The following is an 18690-nucleotide window of genomic DNA, read 5'->3' as shown; positions in this document are numbered from 1 at the left end:
TACTAAAAATACAAAAATTAGCTGGGCGTGGTGGCGGGCGCCTGTAATCCCAGCTACTCGGGAGGCTGAGGCAGGAGAATCACTTGAACCTGGGAGGCAGAGGTTGCAGTGAGCTGAGATCACACTCCAGCCTGGGTGACGGAGCATGACTCTGCCTTAAAAAAAAAAAAAAAAGATTTAAAACATTAATCTGTAAGTTGTCAATATTAAATAATAAGCATTTAGGGTAAGGGCTGGATGTATAATACTATACTAAGTCAAGAAAGTTCAAAATACAGATCATTCAGTAACAGTGGCAGTGACAAAAGAGATCCTGGCTAATGCCACCACCATCCTAATCCTGTGGGAAAATGCCACCAGGAAACATTTCTATCAACCACACCATCAGATTGGGAAGCTGAGTAATTGGTCCAACTGCCAGACATTGATATATTCAAATCAATTAATCGGTAGTCACCAAGTGACTAAAAAGTGGACAACGCTCCACTGTGTGCTACAGTATACATCAGGCATTTCTAGTTCTAGTCCTAGTCCTGCTCTTAACTTTCAAAGGCAAATCAGGTTCAACCTCAATGTGAAAGAATAAACAATAAATCAGAGAGCATTTATTATAAATTGCCAAAGAAGGTTTAGTCCAGTCAGCCAAGGTGCCCCTCTATTTCTCAAATGCTAAACCCACTCAGAATGAGAGGAGCTGCTCCATCAACCGAGTAGATCCAGATGGTCTCCATGGAAGAAGCAGCACAGCTGAGAAGCCCACTGCTCAAGACTACATCTGCCCTTTCTCTCTAGATCCCTTAGAAAAGAGAGTCACCCCTCCTCCATCTCAGTCTGAGACACACAAAGAATGAAACTTTCTACAAAAGAGGAAGGTCTGAAGGACACTAGCAACTGTCATGAGTTTCCCTATGACTCGAAGCCTCTTGGCTCTAGCATAGGGGCAGCCATAGTCCACATTCAGAAGCATCTTGTTTCCTGTTCTCTAGGTTAGAGACCCAGCTAAGAATAGCACCCCATTCATGCTGCTGTGTACACATCCTTTTCACTTGCTATTTTCTCTCACACACGCATGAAGCCCGGGTCTTGTACATTCTCCAAGGTAAATGCAAATATTTATAAACGGGTACAGAGTAGTGGTTTTATTCCCTGTCCAGTCTACAAACAGGCACTACCTAGAAGAATTCCACTCCAGAGCTGAGTGACACAGGAGTAGCTGGGCCACAGGCTCCCTCTCTGAAGTTCCAAATAGAGACTCACACTCGGAAATAGTAACCTAGTGGAAATACATATAGGATGCCCAGTACCTGTGCAGAACTTCACCTCTGTGCATGACCTAAAACCAGAAGTCTGTAAAATTGATCTCTTTTTATTACATGGAACCATGTGAAATTATCAACAAAATGGTAATTTCATATGATTTAACCTAAAAGAATCCTAAAAAGCAAATCAGGCATTTAGCTAACAAACAAGAATGCAAAATCAATTGTTTCCCAGGTGGTTCCACTATGGAACACCTCGTAAGACAGGCCGAGCACTGATAAGAAACATCTATTCGCTCATGGTTCCATGTTTATATCCATATTTGTTCCTGGCCCTCGAGAGCTCACAAAGGAACAGGCAAGTGAACAGGCAAATACCGCACAGTATGGAAACTACTACTCTACAGAGACGTGCAAAATAAGAACCCTATATATAACTCAATTACAACATTTCTCAATTACACTGAATTCTGCCTGTTTGTTTGTATGTGAGCCTCACCAGTGAGATGATGCACGCTCAGAGGCAGAAACTGTATTTCTTTGTCTTTAAATCCCCAGCATACAGCACAGTTCTTGCACATAGTCAATGCTAAATGATGTTTGTCCAAAGACTCAATGACTTAGAGGCCAAGCGGCCTCTGTAAAAATGAGGTGAGTAGTGACATTTCCATTAATAACTTTGAGGTTTTTATATTTTAGACCAGACTATTAATTATAGCATTGGAAAGAGAATAACAGACTCCTGATTACAGAACTACAAAGAAAAGCAGACAGGGGGTGGCGGGGGGAGACTACACTTTATAATCAAAATAAATCTGAAAATATAGACTAAAGTCTGCCTCTAACTGGGAGTGTGGCAGCATCTTTTTGTCTCTCAATTTAATATCTTTTTATTTCAACTGATTTTCCTTACAAGTACAACAGAACCATCAAGTGCAAAAGGAGTAAAAGGTGTTCTGCAAACAAAAGCAAAGGGGACAAACCCAAACCACCACAGCTCAGGTGTGAGGGGTACTTGCCATGTGTCTTTTGGAAAAGAATGTCTACTGGTGGATGGGAGGAGATGGGCACTATGCCCTCCAGGAACTTGGATACCTTTTATGAGTTCAAAAAAAGCCAAAAAAACAATCAAATTCATATGGATACCAAGATAGGTAATTAAATGTTGAATTAAAGATCAACACGAGGGCAGAGATTAGGCTGACTTCCAGGTGGTCAGAGTTGAAGGAGATAAAACACACACACACACACACACACACACACACACACACACACACGCAAACACCTCCCAGCATTAAAAAATAATAATAATAAAAAAGTAATTTGGGTCACCTTTTAAATCCATAGAGCAATCATTTCTAAAAGAAACAGCAGGTACAAAACTAGCCTCAAGAAAAACCCTCATCTTTCAAAGCGGAATATTCTGACATAGGTTCGAGAAGACTTTCCCTCCCATCAAATAACCAAAGCTTTGGGAAAGGGCAGCACAGAGCTCTCCCTAATATGAAATATTTTATCTATACATTAATTTCTAAAGAGACACTGACCCAAGCACCATACTGCTTCGGAAGTAGAAGTCTTTATCTTAATGAATTGATCTCATCAATTTAGCTGTACATTTGATCCCAAGACCCTTTGTGGACCTGATAACCCTGGGGAGGCCCTTAAGTGAAGCTGTCCCTAGGGTGGCCCACTTCATCACAGAGACCAGCAGACAGGAAAGGGCCATTGGGGAGATTCTTATTTTATTATGTAAGTCAGAGGAAGCCACGTTTAGCTCCTCTGCTCTACTGCAGCATCCCTATTTGTACCTGGTATAACCAGCAGAGGTAGAAAAGGAAGTCTGTCTGCATAAATGAAAACAAGGGCTAGCCACTCCCGTCTGATGGTAGGTGGTCCTCCACGAGTACCTAACTATGAACACCCACAGTTAAGTTTCTCTCTCTTCTTCTCTCTCAAACCCATTTCTTTTGTTTTTTAGGGGGTTTTTTGTTAGCTTGTTTTTGAGACAGGGTCTTGCTCTTTCACCCAGGCCAGAGTGTAGAGGCATGATTACAGCTCACCGTAGCCTCGACCTTCCGGGCTTAGGTGATCCTCCTGCCTCAGCCTCCCAAGTAGCTGGGACCACAGGTGGGTGCCACCAAGTCCAGCTAATTTTTAAATTATCTGTAGAGATGGGGTCTCCTTATGTTGCCCAGGCTGCTCTCGAACTCCTGGGTTCAAGCAATCCACCCACCTCAGCCTCCCAAAGTGGTGGGATTACAGGTGTGAGCCACAGCGCCAACCCAAACCCATTTCAATTTACTTCCAAGGAATGGAAGAAGTAACATAAATGGCAAAGTGCAAAGGTCAGGTTCAGCAGCCCTATGGGAAAAGCATAGGCTTTAGAGGCAGACTTTGGGATCCTGGATCCCAGTTCCTAGGACCTGTGTTACCATGAGCACGTATCTTAATTTCTGAGCCTTAGTTTCCTCACTTCTGAAAAGAGGACAATAATATCCACCTCACTAAGGTGGTATGGGATAGTTGCTATGTTTGTTTTGTTTTTGTTTTTAAGCCTCTAAGGCCAGAGGTTTTGTGAGTGCTGGATGACTTCATTTCTAGCTCAGGCAAGCAGAAACTGGATATGAAACTAAAGAAGAGTGACATCCACATATGGCCTAGGCGTGAACAAATTCTGCTTGCTTGCATGCGTGCATGGCTAGGACGCTAGCATTTCAAGGAGCCAGCTCCATGAGTTTACAGCCAAACTGGAGAACCATTCCATAGTGACGAGTACAGCACATTTACACAGACATGCTCAAAAGCACTGCAAAATTCTCCCCCTAGTCTAGAATTCCTGAGTTGGCCAACTCTACACAGTTCAGAATAAAACCCAAAGACTGCCAAGACCAGTCAATGTCTTTTTTTTTTTTTTTTTTTTGAGACGTTGTCTCACTCTGTTGCCCAGGCTAGAGTGCAATGGTGCAATCTCAGCTCATTGCAACCTCTGCCTCCCGGGTTCAAGCAGCTCTCCTGCCTCAGCCTCCTGAGTAGCTGGGATTACAGGCGCCCAACACCATGCCCAGCTAATTTTTTTGTATTTTTAGTAGAGACAAGGTTTCACCATGTTAGTCAGGCTGGTCTCGAACTCCTGATCTCGTGATCCGCCCGCCTTGGCCTCCCAAAGTGCTGGGATTACAGGCGTGAGCCACCGTGCCTGGCCCAATGTCTTTCTTTTTAAGGAACATAAAGTAATCCGAAAAAGACCCAGAGATTTCATTCTAACATGAAATCAGTCTTGCTAATAAATTTACTGCCTCTATCAAAATCTATAATCTTCTCAAGATATCTGTCAAAAATTGTAACTGTTGCAGACATGTGGAAAAACTGGCCACACAGCAGCATAAACTCCCTCTGGCTAAAAAGTACATCAAAAATCTTTTCATTTGGCTGAGAGCAATGGCTTATGCCTGTAATTCCCAGCACTTCGGGAGGCTGAGGCAGTCAGATCACCTAAGGTTGGGAGTTGAAGACCAGCCTGGCCAACATGGTGAAACTCCATCTCTACTAAAAATATAAAAATCAGCCGGGCATGGTGGCGCATGCCTGTAGTCCCAGCTACTCGGGAGGCTGAGGCACAAGAACTGCTTGAACCCAGGAGGCGGAGGTTGCAGTGAGCCAAGATCATGCCACTGCATTTCAGCCTGGGCGACAGAGGAAGACTCTGTCTCAAAAAAGAAAGAAAAAAAACTTTTCTTTTAACTTCCAGGCCAGGGTGTCTTTATATCAATTTAATGCCAACCACAATACTAGCTACGGCTCTTCTTTGGGGAAGGGGGACTAAAGAAGGTGGCCTCCAACTGCTATCTCTTTCCCTTTGCTGCTGCCTCCTTCCAACCTACAAAAAAGGAAAGAGTCTGACATTCAGAATTAACCTTGCAAAGAAATTCTGTTTGCCAGCCCACAGGCATTTTGTTTGTTTGATTGGTTTTTCTGCTGTTGCCACTGCTGTCACCTTCCTGACCAAGAGGCCCACAGACTAGCACTTTTTTAGATTCATTTCTGGCAGTGAGTGGGTTTGTAAAGATTGCATTTGTAGTATCTGCTGGGTCCCAAAAGTGTGGAAGGACAAAAGACCATAGCCTTCTCTTAAATTCAGCTCAGAACCAACCTCACACCTCAGCTAGAAAAATTACTTCCATCAACACTGCTCCCAAATGGAGCCCTTCCACCCTCTGCCCAGCTTCCAAGCCCAGGCCCTGAGACCCACACTGCTGTTTGTTTCGGCACCTGCAAGCAGCTTGTTCACAAGCATCCAGACTACAGAGCAAGAGGAGTTTCAGAAGGGCCCTCCAACAAGTGAGTGGCCTGGGAAGAAAAGTGACAGGCAGGGTCTAATGTCCCACAGTAGCTTGTTTTCACTGCCACTTTGGCTTTACCTACCAAGGTCAGCAGCTATTCAAACACTCTGCCCAATGCCCAGCCACAGGATCCTATTAATTCTCTTCAATTAAGAGAGGACCTACCCTGGTTCCCAGAAAGCCAAAAGTAAGTGTCAGTTTCTCCCTCTAGGCAGTCTCTAGATTTAAGGGTTCCTTTCACCTCGCCTAGAAGGGCCCTCAACCTTGAAAATAAGAAGCAGCACTATGAAAACAAACTACCCATTTCTCAACTGTTCAAAGATTAGACCTTGTACCACCTCCTTGCTGGCTCCCAAAGAGACCTCATCTATAAATGGAAATAATAACACAACATGCCTTGTTGTGTCTTCTTTCAGGGCTGTAGATATGAACTAAGATAACATACACACTTAGCATACTGCCTGGCACACAGTAAGCAGTTGATAAATATTACTTAGTACTGATATGATTTTTATTATTCTAAGAATGAGTTGTAGTTATTATTAAGAGAGTAATCTTTCTAAAATACATATTGTTCCAACCCAAGCCTAAAAGCTCCACAGTCAATTTTCAGTTTTTCATGCAAACACAAGGAACCAGTATGGCAAAAATCCTAAAAAATAGATACTCTATAGGTTCTCATTTGGATTTTGAGTACATTATGTGCAGTAATACATACATATATCCATCTATTCAATAAAGAGCTGTTTGGCACCAACAAATATATAGCACTGAACTAAGACATATATATGTCTAGTTAGTACTTCTGAGCACCTACTATAGGCCAGACACTATATCAGGAGACACTGGAGATACACACATAAGTAAGAAAAGGGCCCTGCCATCCAAAAGCTTATAGTTTAATAGAGGAATTATGATAACAGGTGCTAAGATAAAAATCCCATAGCAATCAGTAGAGGCAAAAAGGAGAGAAACATACGGGTGATACTTTCTTAACTGACTTGCCAGCTTATGTGACATACCAACTTCTCTTCAAAATAAACTGGCTGAGTTGCATAGCACACTGGAGGCTGGTTGTGTATTACTCACATCTACTCCCACCAGCCAGGTTGGCTGCTTCAGGGTCAGTAGTTAGTTCACGCTAGGTATACTTGTTATTTTAATTACATATTAAATTATTATATAATACAAACAAGTGAAATATGAGTATAAAAAAAGTTATTTCTATGAAAAAGAGGTTGAATGCTTGGAAGAAATTTGAAGGCAAGTTGCTAAAAAAAATTGCTGCTGAATTAGATATGGGCAAGACAACAGTAAAAGGTTGTAGTGGTGGAGCTTAAAAATCTGGAAGAATTCTGCCCTTCATTTCTCAAATGTATTTAAGAACTTGGTTCACTTAAACTGAAACTGGAAATCACAGATCAAATGTTAAGTGTATAATTTATGAAAGAAAGTCAACTGAACTCTACTTGAAAGATCCACACTTTAAGAAAAAGCCCTGGCCCACATAAAAAGATTTGTGAATACGTGTACATTCACTTTTTTTTCCCCCCTCTGAGACAGGGTCTCACTCTGTCGCCCAGACTGGAGTGCAGTGGCTCTGTCGCCCAGACTGGAGTGCAGTGGTGTGATCTCGGCTCACTGCAACCTTTGCCTCCCGGGTTCAAGAGATTCTTGTGCCTCAGCCTCCCGAGTAGCTGGGATTACGGGCACCTGCCACCCACCTAGCTAATTTTTGTATTTTTTTTTTTTTTTAGTAGAGGTGGGGTTTCACCATGTTGGCCAGGCTGGCATTTACATATTTTTAAGTTAAAATAAAATGCTAGCTAGATGATGACATGTGCCTGTAATCCCAGCTACTCAGGAGGCTGAGACTGTAGGATGGCTTGAGCCCAGGAGTTAGAGACCAGCTGGGGCAATAATAGAGAGACCCTGTCTCAAAAAAAAATTAAAATAAATAAAATGCTTGAGAACAGTTTTGTCTTCGTTTTTAAAGACTCTCTGTTTTAACTGACTTTTGGAATTAACTGACCAATTACTAGTCCAATTGCCCCAGATAAGAAGGTGTTTCCAGTATACCTGCCTATTTCTCAGGCTGATAGCAAAATGAGTTTATATTCATGCAGCCCAATCCAAGCAGGTAGCAGAAAAGGCTGCCTTGGGATTTTATAAAATAGACCTGTTAAATACTTCTCAAGTAGATCAAGTGCAGGTGGAATACTAAATTTTAGCCATATTTCAAAAGACTGAGATGCTAATGCCTGTGAACATGCGCTATACACTAACTACTCATGGCCTGAAGCACAGACCAAAAGGTGAATGATATCCCAAATGCCACCTCAGTTTTGGTCACAGGTCTGGATACAACTCATTGGTTGATCCAAGCATCTGATGTTCCACCTTGACATGCGATGCTATCTCTGGAAAAAGAAAATGTCGCAGGTGTTGAGAAAAGGTACAAGTACCAACTATCAAAGAGGAGTAAGATCCCTTCCCAAGACCCCTTTATAGTCAGTCTAATACATTTCGGTTTATTCGCCTAGAATGCTGGACTTCTATACCACATAACAAGATTCCACACACTGAAACGGAACCAACATCATTAGCTTCTTACCAGTGTTCTGCCATCGAGATGCAGTCTGTCAAGAGAAGCAGCACAGAGTCTCATGTCAAGAGAAGTCTGCAGCGGCAGAAAGACAACTAAAAAGAGAGACTTCAGTGGAATTTGAGTCACCTGACATTAGTCTTAAAAAAGATATTTAAAATACAGAGAATCCCACTGATGGAGGAGAGAAAAATAACCCTCTTTTTTTCTTTAAAGACAGGCATTGATATGAGCGAAAGGAAAAGAACTGGGGAAGTCTTTGTATATTGAGAGCTCAGTTTATTTTTACTCTCTGCCAATAGAGGCAAGGTAATTCTATAAGCACCATTTAACTTTCTCACTACAAACAAAATAGAGTAAGTCGTATTAACGACTTACTTGCGCTCTAAACTTCCAGCTCCAGAACACTTTTTTTCCCCTGAAAATTAAATTGATTCTTACAGAATGGTACCCAAATGTGTGATTTCAAAGGCAGATCCCAAAACTGATGGGATCCTCAATGAGAGGATGAGGAGGCATTTTCAGTTTCAACTTCAACTTATTTTCTTCATTAGGGGTAGGCCTAGACGACTTCTAATTAAAATCCCTCTCTTTCCCAAACTCTATGATTTCAAAGAAACAAAAGGAAATGAGTTTCAACTATAGCTGTCAAATTTTAAGTCAGGTATCAGCAAGAAATTCCTAATTGGAAAGCTGTCAATCAATGAAACAGGTTTCAAAATAGGTTGTGGAATCTTCTTCCCCAGAGACAGTTAAAAATAGGCTAGGCAGCCATCTGTCTTGGTGGGATACAGCCCTTCCAGGAGGCCGGCATCAGAACAAAACCCTTCTTCCCTCCCTCCCAGGGAGTCCACTAATGAGAAGTGATTAAGGGCTATGAAGAATAAAGGAAGGAGACAGCAGCCCAACCAGGCCCATGGGCTAGGCGGCTGAGATTTCCTGTAGAAAGGGAAGATACAAGCTGCAAAGAGGAAGATACAAGCTGCAAAGGGGAATATACAAGGGGAAAAAGACAGGAAATAACCACAGGGCTGTGAGCATTTTGGGGAGGGCTGCACCAATCTGCTTCCCAGCTGCAACAGCTCAATTTGGTCCTGGGGACTGGGAGCTCAGCCACAGCTCTTTGGGGAGGGTATTATTCCCCTTCCTAGCTCCCAAACCCATGTATACATGAAGCCTAAGTGGAAAATGGGAACTGTCAAATAAATCCAAGATTTCCCCAGGTGACCAGCAGCATCCATGAAATAGCTCCAAAAAGTTTTCCTTTAAAATACATTGTCTTTTTTTGTTCCTTGCCACTTTCTTTGGCCATCTATAATCTTACCCATTTCCTGCAGTTCTTAACATTTCTTTCATTACTATGGAAAGCTCTCTTGGGGCACGAAAACGAATAAAACCTTCATGGACCTTTGGAAACCTAACCCCAATGAGAAATGGAAGAGACAGCATTGCTGTGGACTGTCACCTCTGCAAAAGTGGGACTGTCCCTCTTTGCAGACATGAGCAGCTCTCTGCCCCCATCTTTGTACAAACACTTCAGATATACACACTTGGGGCTTTCAACTAAGTCTCTGTTCCTGCTACTGTGTCTCCCGAAGAATACTGGAGTCAGCCATGCAGCACTGTCACATGGGGATTCAGGTACCCAGCTTTGCTGGTAGACAAAACACAGGAAGCCCACTGTTTTCTAAGCTCCCCATAGTTCAAGAGGCCCCTGTAGGGGAAAGAAGATGGCAGTAAGGTCAAGGAGTCAACATCAAGGACTCATCAAGCTGAGGTATGCAGCAAAGTAAAGATGGAGGCCAGGGATGGCCACCAGCTGTTAAGAGTTAGACACTGGGGAGTACAGGGCAAAACCAGTGCCTGAGGCTCAGTGCTCTCAAATAGAATTTTTTTCTGGTTGAGGCTGCCAGCTAAGGAGAAACCTGAAGCTCAAGCATGCAGTCTGGTGATTTTTTCCCCCTTCAGCAAAGCCAGAAAAATTTGTAGAGATAACTAGAAGAAAATCAATACCATAGGGCCCAAGATTTAACAGGAGCCTTTGCAGAGAAGAAATCTGAGTCTGTCCTGTCCTTGCAGCTGTCTTAGATCAGAGGAGATGGAGCTTTTACTCTAACAGAAGATATCAGACTTATTGAGAACAGGAGATAATGGATAGGAAAGGGCCCTAAAAACTCAAATAGCCCAAAATGAATGAAAGAGATAATCATAATACACAGGGCTACTCCCAAACTGGGTGGCTAAATAGGAGCAAATAGAAAAGTAGAGACCACCATTCTGGATCATATCCTGTGGCCACCTGAGGGGCTTAGTGAAGGCACCTATCTTCCATCTTGCTGGTATGGAGGCAAAGCTGGCTATGAAAAGGAGCAGGCTCCCAACCTGCCTTTGCTGGATGCCACACAGCAACGCCGGGGAGCAACTCTGGTCCAGCACCTGGGTAAACAATGTGACTCTCCGGAATGTCCCGAACACTACAGTCAAAATCTAGGATTTAGGAACAGTATAATGGGGGATATCTCCCCTCAAAACCTAACTCAGTTACAGAGGGAGGGATCTGTCTAGGACCCGATCTGCTATGAAAGTTTCTATTATAAAACTTGGGGTTTGCTCATTTTTCAGAACTGGGATCTTCAACACCTTTGGGATTCATTCATCAGATATGGAATTCAGACTGCTTAAAGCCTTGGGGAACTGCAACTAGGCAGCAGAGAGCTAGCTGGTTTCTAAGGAGATCGAGACTGAGCAGACGATACAGAAGTAGAGCATCCTCTAGAGGTCGCCTAGTCCACCACCCCACCACCTCCTGCTCACTCCCACCCCTCCCCAGCAGCAGGCTACCAGGAAGCAAGAGCAGACAGGTGAGCTGCTGTCCTGTTTTTCAAGCTCTCCTGGGAAGGAGAACCCACATAATTTTTCTATAGCCTGGAGCTGGTAAAAGAAGGGAAGGAAGGAACTAACAATGGAGTAAGCAACCCACTAACTTCCCATTCACTCTCATAACTCAACATGATGAGGCAGGCTGGCTGCCAGCCAGGACTCTCTCCAGAAGGATATGGCTGAAGGGCTGTCAAGTCCGAGTGTGGGACAGTGAAAAGAGCATTGCATTAGACATCAAAAGACAGGGGGAGTTGGGGAAGGAAAGAGGAAGATTAAAGCCAAGGACCGTGAAGGGACTTTTTGGGGTGATAGAAATGTTCAACCTATTGATTATAATTGTGGCTACACAAGTATATACCATTTGTCAAAACTCATTGAACTATAGGTTTCAAATAGTGAATTTTATTGCACATAAATTATACCTGAATAAAGTTGTTTTTAAAAGAAAAAACATGCATTCTAAATTCTGATCCTGCCCTATTAACTGTGTGACCTTGGCCATGTCACTTAGCCTACCTAATGCTTCAGTTTTCTCATATTTTAAATGGGATTACTAATTTCTGACCTGCTGGCCAGGTGAGATGGCTTATGCCTGTAATCCCAGCACTTTGGGAGGCCGAGGCTGGTGGATTACCTGAGATCAGTTCGAGACCAGCCTGGCTAACATGGCAAAACCCCATCTCTAGTAAAAATACAAACATTAGCCGGGCATGGTGGCACACACCTGTAATCCCAGCTACTTGGGAGGCTGAGGAAGGAGAATCACTTGAACCCAGGAGGTGGAGGTTGCAGTAAGCCAAGATCATGCCACTGTACTCCAGCCTGGGCAACAGAGTGAGACTCTGTCTCAAAAAATAATAATAATGATAATTTCTGACCTGCTTAGCTCACAGGATATTTAAGATCAGATGAGATATGAAATAAGACCCATTTTTAAAAGCACAAAATGCTAAGCAAATAGGAGGTAACTATAATTAGCTTGGTTCCACAATACTTGGGATCTCCCTGGCTATGTATTTTCTGGTGATCTTGAGAAGATTCTGTTTTATTTAATTGACGATGGTTCAAAATCTTTCCTCTGGAAAACCTTGACTGGAGTGTTCTGTCTACTTGCTTCAGACTATCTGCTTGCTCACCTCTCCACTATGTAAACCTAACTTACTGTGAGCGCCCAGGCCGTCTGGCTACTACAGATAAGCACCCCAGCCCGGGAGCACAGACGCTGAACGCAGCCGCCTGACCAGAATGCAGACACCAGGGCAGATACCATTCTGAAGCTGTGGACTCTTCCCTTTCTGGGGAAATCAGTGAGTTGATATTTTCTATGTTGCCACAGGGAGCTCTTTCTGGCAAAGGAAACGGAAAGAAAACGCAGGATCTCCTCACCAAAGCACAGAATGGGGAAAAACACCAAAGCCTGGGCAGTTGGGCAGTTAGGTACAAATCTACCCAGTGAGCAGACTTAACTAAAAGGGATTGTGATGATCTACTCCAACAATTTCATTTTTAAAATTAGGAAACGAGGCCGGGCATGATGACTTACATCTGTACTCCCAACACTTTGGGAGGCAGAGGCAGGTGGATTGCTCGAGGCCTGGAGTTCAAGACCAGCCTGCTCAACATGGCGAACCTCTGTCTCTACTAAAAATACAAAAATTACAAGAGCATGGTGACACACGCTTGTAATCCCAGCTACCGGGGTGGCTGAGGCACAAAAATCATTTGAACCTGGGAGGCAGAGGTTGCAGTGAGCTGAGATCACGCCATTGCACTCCAGCCTGGGCAACAGAACAAGACTCTGTCTAAAAAAAAAAAAAAAATTAGAAAACTAATTATCAGAGAGGCCAAGAGTTCAAGGCTAAGCAAAATTGTTAAGTAGGTCCAACTGGAGGTGCTTCAACCTTTTGATTTTAGCCCCATATACCTGCTTACTTCCCCCAGAGTGCCCTCCCTCACTAAACTGGCATCTAGTAGTCTTAGACCCTTATCAAAACCTTGTAAAGAAACAAATGGAATCTCATACTAAAGTATAAATAAACAGCTAGTCTTTTGAGTGAGATACAATAAAAGAATGTTTTAAAGAGATAAAGCTACCAGTAGAAGAGATGTCTTCAGCCTATCCACCTTCAGGGACCTTGACAATAGCCCTAAAATCATACCCAATAGGTGGTTTTGTACCCAGCTGTTGGCAAATAGGGTACCAAAGCTTGAAACTCTTCCAGATTAGTTCAAGTGGGCTTACAAAGAAGTTCAAGTGGACCTGCAGAGTAGTGGGTCTTATCTCCAAGCCCGAGCTGTAAGTAGCAACACTATTCTTTAGAAAGGCATTACATATCTTGCATAAATGAGAATCAGAGCTCCCCATACAATACTGCCACTGCCACTCTTCCTTGCAAATGCTCCTTTTAAGTCCATACGTTAAGAATACCATTCTGGGCTGGGTATGGTGGCTCACGCCTGTAATCCCAGCACTCTGAGAGGCCGAGGTAAGCGGATCACGAGGTCAAGTGTTTGAGACCAGCCTGGCCAATATGGTGAAACCCCATCTCTACTAAAAAATACAAAAATTAGCCGAGCGTGGTGGCGGGCGCCTGTAGTCCCAGCTACTTGGGAGGCTGAGGCAGGAGAATTGCTTGAACCCGGGAGGTGGAGGTTGCAGTGAGCCGAGATCGCACCACTGCACTCCAGCCTGGGCGACAGAGCGAGACTCCGTCTCAAAAAAAAAAAAAAATACAGCTCCATGAAAGCAGGGACTTCCTCTGTCTTGTTAATAACTCTATCTCTAGCACCAGACCAGAGCCTGGTACATAGTAGGCATACATAATCATGTGTTGAGTACATGAATGAATTAGTGATTGAATGAATGAATTTTTTAAAATGCACTGAACTGAATGTCTCTGAAGACAGTGTAGGGCCCTCTGGTACCACAGAGGCTGTGTCATGGGTCATGCCAGTACTCACAAGAAATGTCAACGCTGGCATACACTTCACCAACAGGCAGATATATCTGTAAGATGCAGGGGTAAGTTCAAGTGCTTCCATGAGGCATTTCCGTAATTAATTATTAGCATTCATAGGCTAGATACCTATAATACCAACTTCAGCATCGATCTAAAGGAAACCTATTCATTTAAACTGACAAAAACATGCTGTCATTTTCATTTCCATTACAAAGCATGCCAATGCAGTAGAAACATTTTGATTGATTGAATGGCTTTCTCTCAATCTGCACGGCAATTGATCAGTTTACGAAGGGACAAATAGTTCAACAATTCAAGTCAAAAGCAGAGAAACCTTTTTTTCTTTACTTATGAGGCATAAATCAGCTATTTAAAATATATAGAAATTACAAATACTTAAAATTATCTTCTGGGAGATCCTAAATAAGGTAAGGTGTGTGTGTGTGTGTGTGTGTGTGTGTGTGTGTGTATGTATGTGTACATATATATCTCTCTCTCAACGTATAACCAGAAGAACTGCTGCAACTGCCTGTTGTAGACTGCCTCCACAGCCCAGTAAGTGATGTACCACTTCATCTCCATCAAGACCTTAATTCCTGCCCCTAGAGAATAAATGAGGTAACAAAACTGGAAGCACTTTGAGTCTCTAAAAGAAGCTATAGAAATCCTGAAAGAAGAAAAGACCAAGTACAAATAGAGTCTCTGAGAGGACAAAAAAAAGTGTTGCATAAAAAGAGAGTCAAGGTGTTAATTGCTGAAGAGTCCTTCAGGTTGAAGAGAAGGATCCTTCACTATCCTGTATCCTGCAGCCCCTTCCTTCTTTTCAAGGAACTGCAGAGATTATGTCCGCCATTCCTATCAATTTGTTTATTCAGTGGCCTTTTGACAGCCAAACTGCTAGGAGCTGCTCAGTTGCGGCACAGCCAAGCAGGCCTGCACAAGTTTCCACCACACCCAGGCTTCAGCTTGGTAGAAAATGAAAATGGTCAAGAGTTTTAATGAGTTGTTAATGATTTAAGTACTCAGAGTGATATGCTTGCAAGATAAGACAAAAGGAACTTAGGAGCAGTGAAACCAAATCAAACCAATAATACATTCAACAGTGATGAATACAATTACACAACCTCTGCATACATTTAGGGAGCTTCCGAAACAGAATTTGGACTGGAACATCCCAAGGTCTAGCCTGCTTCCTCCACTCAGAAGCCCACCCATACCCTTGCTAAGAAAGTATTCTACTGTTTTCTTTAAACTCTCCTGGAATTCTATAGGCTTCCTTCATTATTTTACCTTATTGCTCCACAAAAACTTGGCTTCTAACGTCAACCCTACCTCTCATCTGCTTACTGAGGACAGGACGAAACTTGAGTTGTTCCCTGCAGACAAAAGTACAACGGTTGACACTAAAGATCACCTATTTGAAGTAAAACTGGTTTTAAGCAGGTTAATGAACCCCAGGCTTACAGGTTCTTGCACTTGGTATATTTTTCTAACACACCCCAACAAGATAAGAGATTGGAAAATGGCTCCTTTGGCTGGTTGAGAAGGAATGTAATCTTTTTTTTTTTTTTTTTAAAGCGCTGATGGAATTACCCTGCTAGGGAACCAGCATACATATGTCATTCCTTTGTACAGTATTTTTACAAGTATTTGATTTTGTTTACCCTAATTTATCCAACTCAGGAATAAAAAGGAATCTCAGATCTATGAGAAGGACCTCCAATTTCTCATTCTCAGCTTCAAAACAAATTAGTCAGTTTAACATTAGTCAAGACACAGGTTGCTGTGAAATAAGAATGATTCTAGGTCATGATTAAGATGGTTCTCCAAACTATCAACAAGACTGTCTAATCACCTGTTATGAACCCAACACTGTTAAACAGCAATGGCATGTACAAAAGAAGTATGAAATAAAGTTCCTGTCATCCACACCTAACAATCTAGAGGCAGCCTTCAATTAATTTGCTGATAGGGTGTATTGCATAATAAGTTTTATATATTTGTTGTTTGAAGTTCAAACACATTTCGCCATAAAAGGCATGCTATCGTGTTTCAGTTCTCATGCTGGTAGAAAACTGTCTTAGCCTCTAATGTAATTGAGATATCAAGTACCGTATGTGAAATGAAACATGATATTAAAAACTGGTGTAACATTAGAAATATCTGACATGTATCTGGTGCTTTGTGAGCTTGAAAGAGTTCTTCATCTACATAAACTTCACATCATAGTGTATTATGTGATGATACACGGTCATATTGTCAACGGTTGAAGAAATTGAGGCACAGAAAGCCTAGAAGCTTATACAGAGTCACACAGCTACTAAGTGGCAGCAGGACGCTCACGTTGGCCTTCCAACTCTAAATCCCGTTCTCTTTCCACTAGTGTAAAACTGAATAAGAAGCAGGTGTGAAGTGTTTTGTTTTGCTTTGTTTTTTAAGACTCATGGCTGAGAAAGAGGAAATTTTATTTGAGAAAGACAGGGAGGTAAGTGAAAACTTTTAGTGATTCAAAAGGAGGCTTAGGGGCACTTTTAGAAGCTTTCAAGGTTGACGAAGCTGGTGTTTATGGCTTTCATTTCACTTGGAGCCTCGTGGCCAGGCTTTTCCTCCTTTCAGATTTCTCACTGACTCTTTTCAAGTTCGACTGCCCTGATTAGAGTATGTTTTGTTTGGGATTTAACTCATGAATAGGAATACACCAACAGCAAAGAAGCGTTGGAACAGATTTCCTTGAGGTTACTGGACAAGCACTGGAAAAGAGAAGAGGAATGAGGAAGAGAAAAGTACAGATAAGATAAATTGCCTGAGGCAGAGTTAACTACACAGCAACCCTTGAAAGGAAGATACAGGGAAAAGGGGCTGAGGGAGGGTATTATTCTATGAAAGAGACATGGGACAGATATTGAGACAGCCCTCACCACTGTGCCATCAGGCCAGGGCAGCAGCAGCTGCAACTCAACTATGCGTAAATAGGTCTTTCCCTTATATGAAGGTCTACAGTTGAGAAGACATCTGTGAAATTAGCAGATGATGGCACAAATAATCCCACATATATGCCTTTCAAAAAATCTCTCTAACCGAATAAAAATGCAAAGAATTTCATTCGTTCATTCATTCATCCAATACACATTTATTATATGCTAAGCACTCTGCTAGATGCTAGAAAACAACGATAAACAGAAACAGTCCCTGCTCTCAAAGAGCTCATAGCTTAGCAGACAAGAGATGTGTAAACAAATACGTGCAAAATAGTGTGATTGGTATGACCTCATTTTGTTAAATAGCGAGTACAGTATTGGCACAGTCATACTTCAAGCATGAACAGAGCCCAAGAGGTTCCCCAATGTGCTCAACTTGGCAGACTTGCTATTTAGCATTTACCCATCCGTATTCAGAGGCTCGCACTCATGCTTAGGCCAAATCTCCATTATTAATCACATATTTACCAGCTAAGTCACTTTCCTAATGTCTACCCTACCCAAGTCACTGTTTTGTTTCTAAGAAGGAGGAAGGTGCGTGTTCATCTATCTCGCCCAAATTGTGTAAGGGCAACCTGAACTTGGGGTGGTGCAAAAGGGGTTCACTGTAACATGGCACGTCATTTCACGTATGGCCCAGAAAGCAACAGGTGATTCACTTTAACAAACATACTTGAGCCAGTGTTATATAGGTCAAGTCTCATCAAAACAAACACCAAGAGATGGTCCACTTTCTTCTGTTGCAGCAAATAAAATCTTAATATATATTTGTTTGGGGTATGTAATTTGCAAAGCTGATACACAAGCATTACTTCATTTAGTCAACACAGCAACTCCTAGATGTAGGAATTATATGTTCATCCTATATCTGAAGAGGCTGAGGCCAGGAGAGGTTAGAGACTTACCCAGGGCCACATAGTTGATGGCAAGGGTCAGAGCTACCACTGGTACCCAAGCCTCTGACCTCCAGCTGAGTGGTCTTTTTTCTACCAAACTGTGGCGTAAAACTCTCAAGCCAACTGTGGGTAATCTCTGTTACACAGAAAGAATTTAAAAAGGAGGAGAGTAATAACTCCTATAGTCTCCTTGGATTGAACACATTGGATGAGAAGTACTCATAGGCCACTCTCCTCAAAATAGAAATAACACTAAAAATTCAAAGCCTTTGGAAGTGAGAATAGAATACATTAAGTTCAACTGCCAATATCTGAAATATAATTTCCTATAAATGGCTTTAGCCTGATCCCCTCTTTCAACATATCCTACAATCAAAATCTCCAATCAAATCCTCTATCAAAGCGCCATCTCCCCATTCCAAAGTTATTCAAATTAAGGAGATCAACCACTTCTGCCTCCACACCCCGAAACAGCACCAGCACCACCTAGTCATGTTTTGCTGAACTCAGCCTCTCCCACACTCCCCAGGCTGCCTTTAAAAGAACTTGTTCATTAGCTGGCTCTTCAGTCACCCATGGGAGGTCAGGTGGTGGAGGGTGCTGGCAGAGCTTGACTTGACTTTTCTTTCATTCCCAGCTGACCCTCATAAGGGGCCTCCAACCAAACTCGGAGCAAGGCAGCTCAGAACTCCAGTTTTCTCTCTCCTTGTTTAGCTGTGCTCTTTCCCTACAGGGCACAGGGAAAGAAAATGCTATTAATTCCTGCAAA

General features: G+C 42.5%; 1 protein-coding gene across 12 annotated transcripts in view, besides 1 other annotated feature; it reads right to left on the bottom strand.

Annotated features, from left to right (window-relative positions):
* SRGAP2 (SLIT-ROBO Rho GTPase activating protein 2) overlaps positions 1-18690 on the bottom strand; it is a 260896-nt gene that overhangs the window by 219989 nt on the left and 22217 nt on the right. The window lies entirely within an intron of this gene.
* Positions 8786-9573: an enhancer, noted in NCBI's record as "OCT4-NANOG-H3K4me1 hESC enhancer chr1:206105690-206106456 (GRCh37/hg19 assembly coordinates)". NCBI's record gives its function as "activates a minimal SCP1, AML or CMV promoter by ChIP-STARR-seq in naive H9 embryonic stem cells {active_cell/tissue: H9 hESC(naive)}" and the evidence as "EXISTENCE:reporter gene assay evidence [ECO:0000049][PMID:30033119]".

This window comes from Homo sapiens, chromosome 1 (assembly GCF_000001405.40).
Source record: "Homo sapiens chromosome 1, GRCh38.p14 Primary Assembly".
NCBI classification, from domain to species: Eukaryota; Metazoa; Chordata; class Mammalia; order Primates; family Hominidae; genus Homo; species Homo sapiens.
Note: the sequence above shows the minus strand (reverse complement) of the source record. Positions and strands in the feature narration are given on the sequence as shown.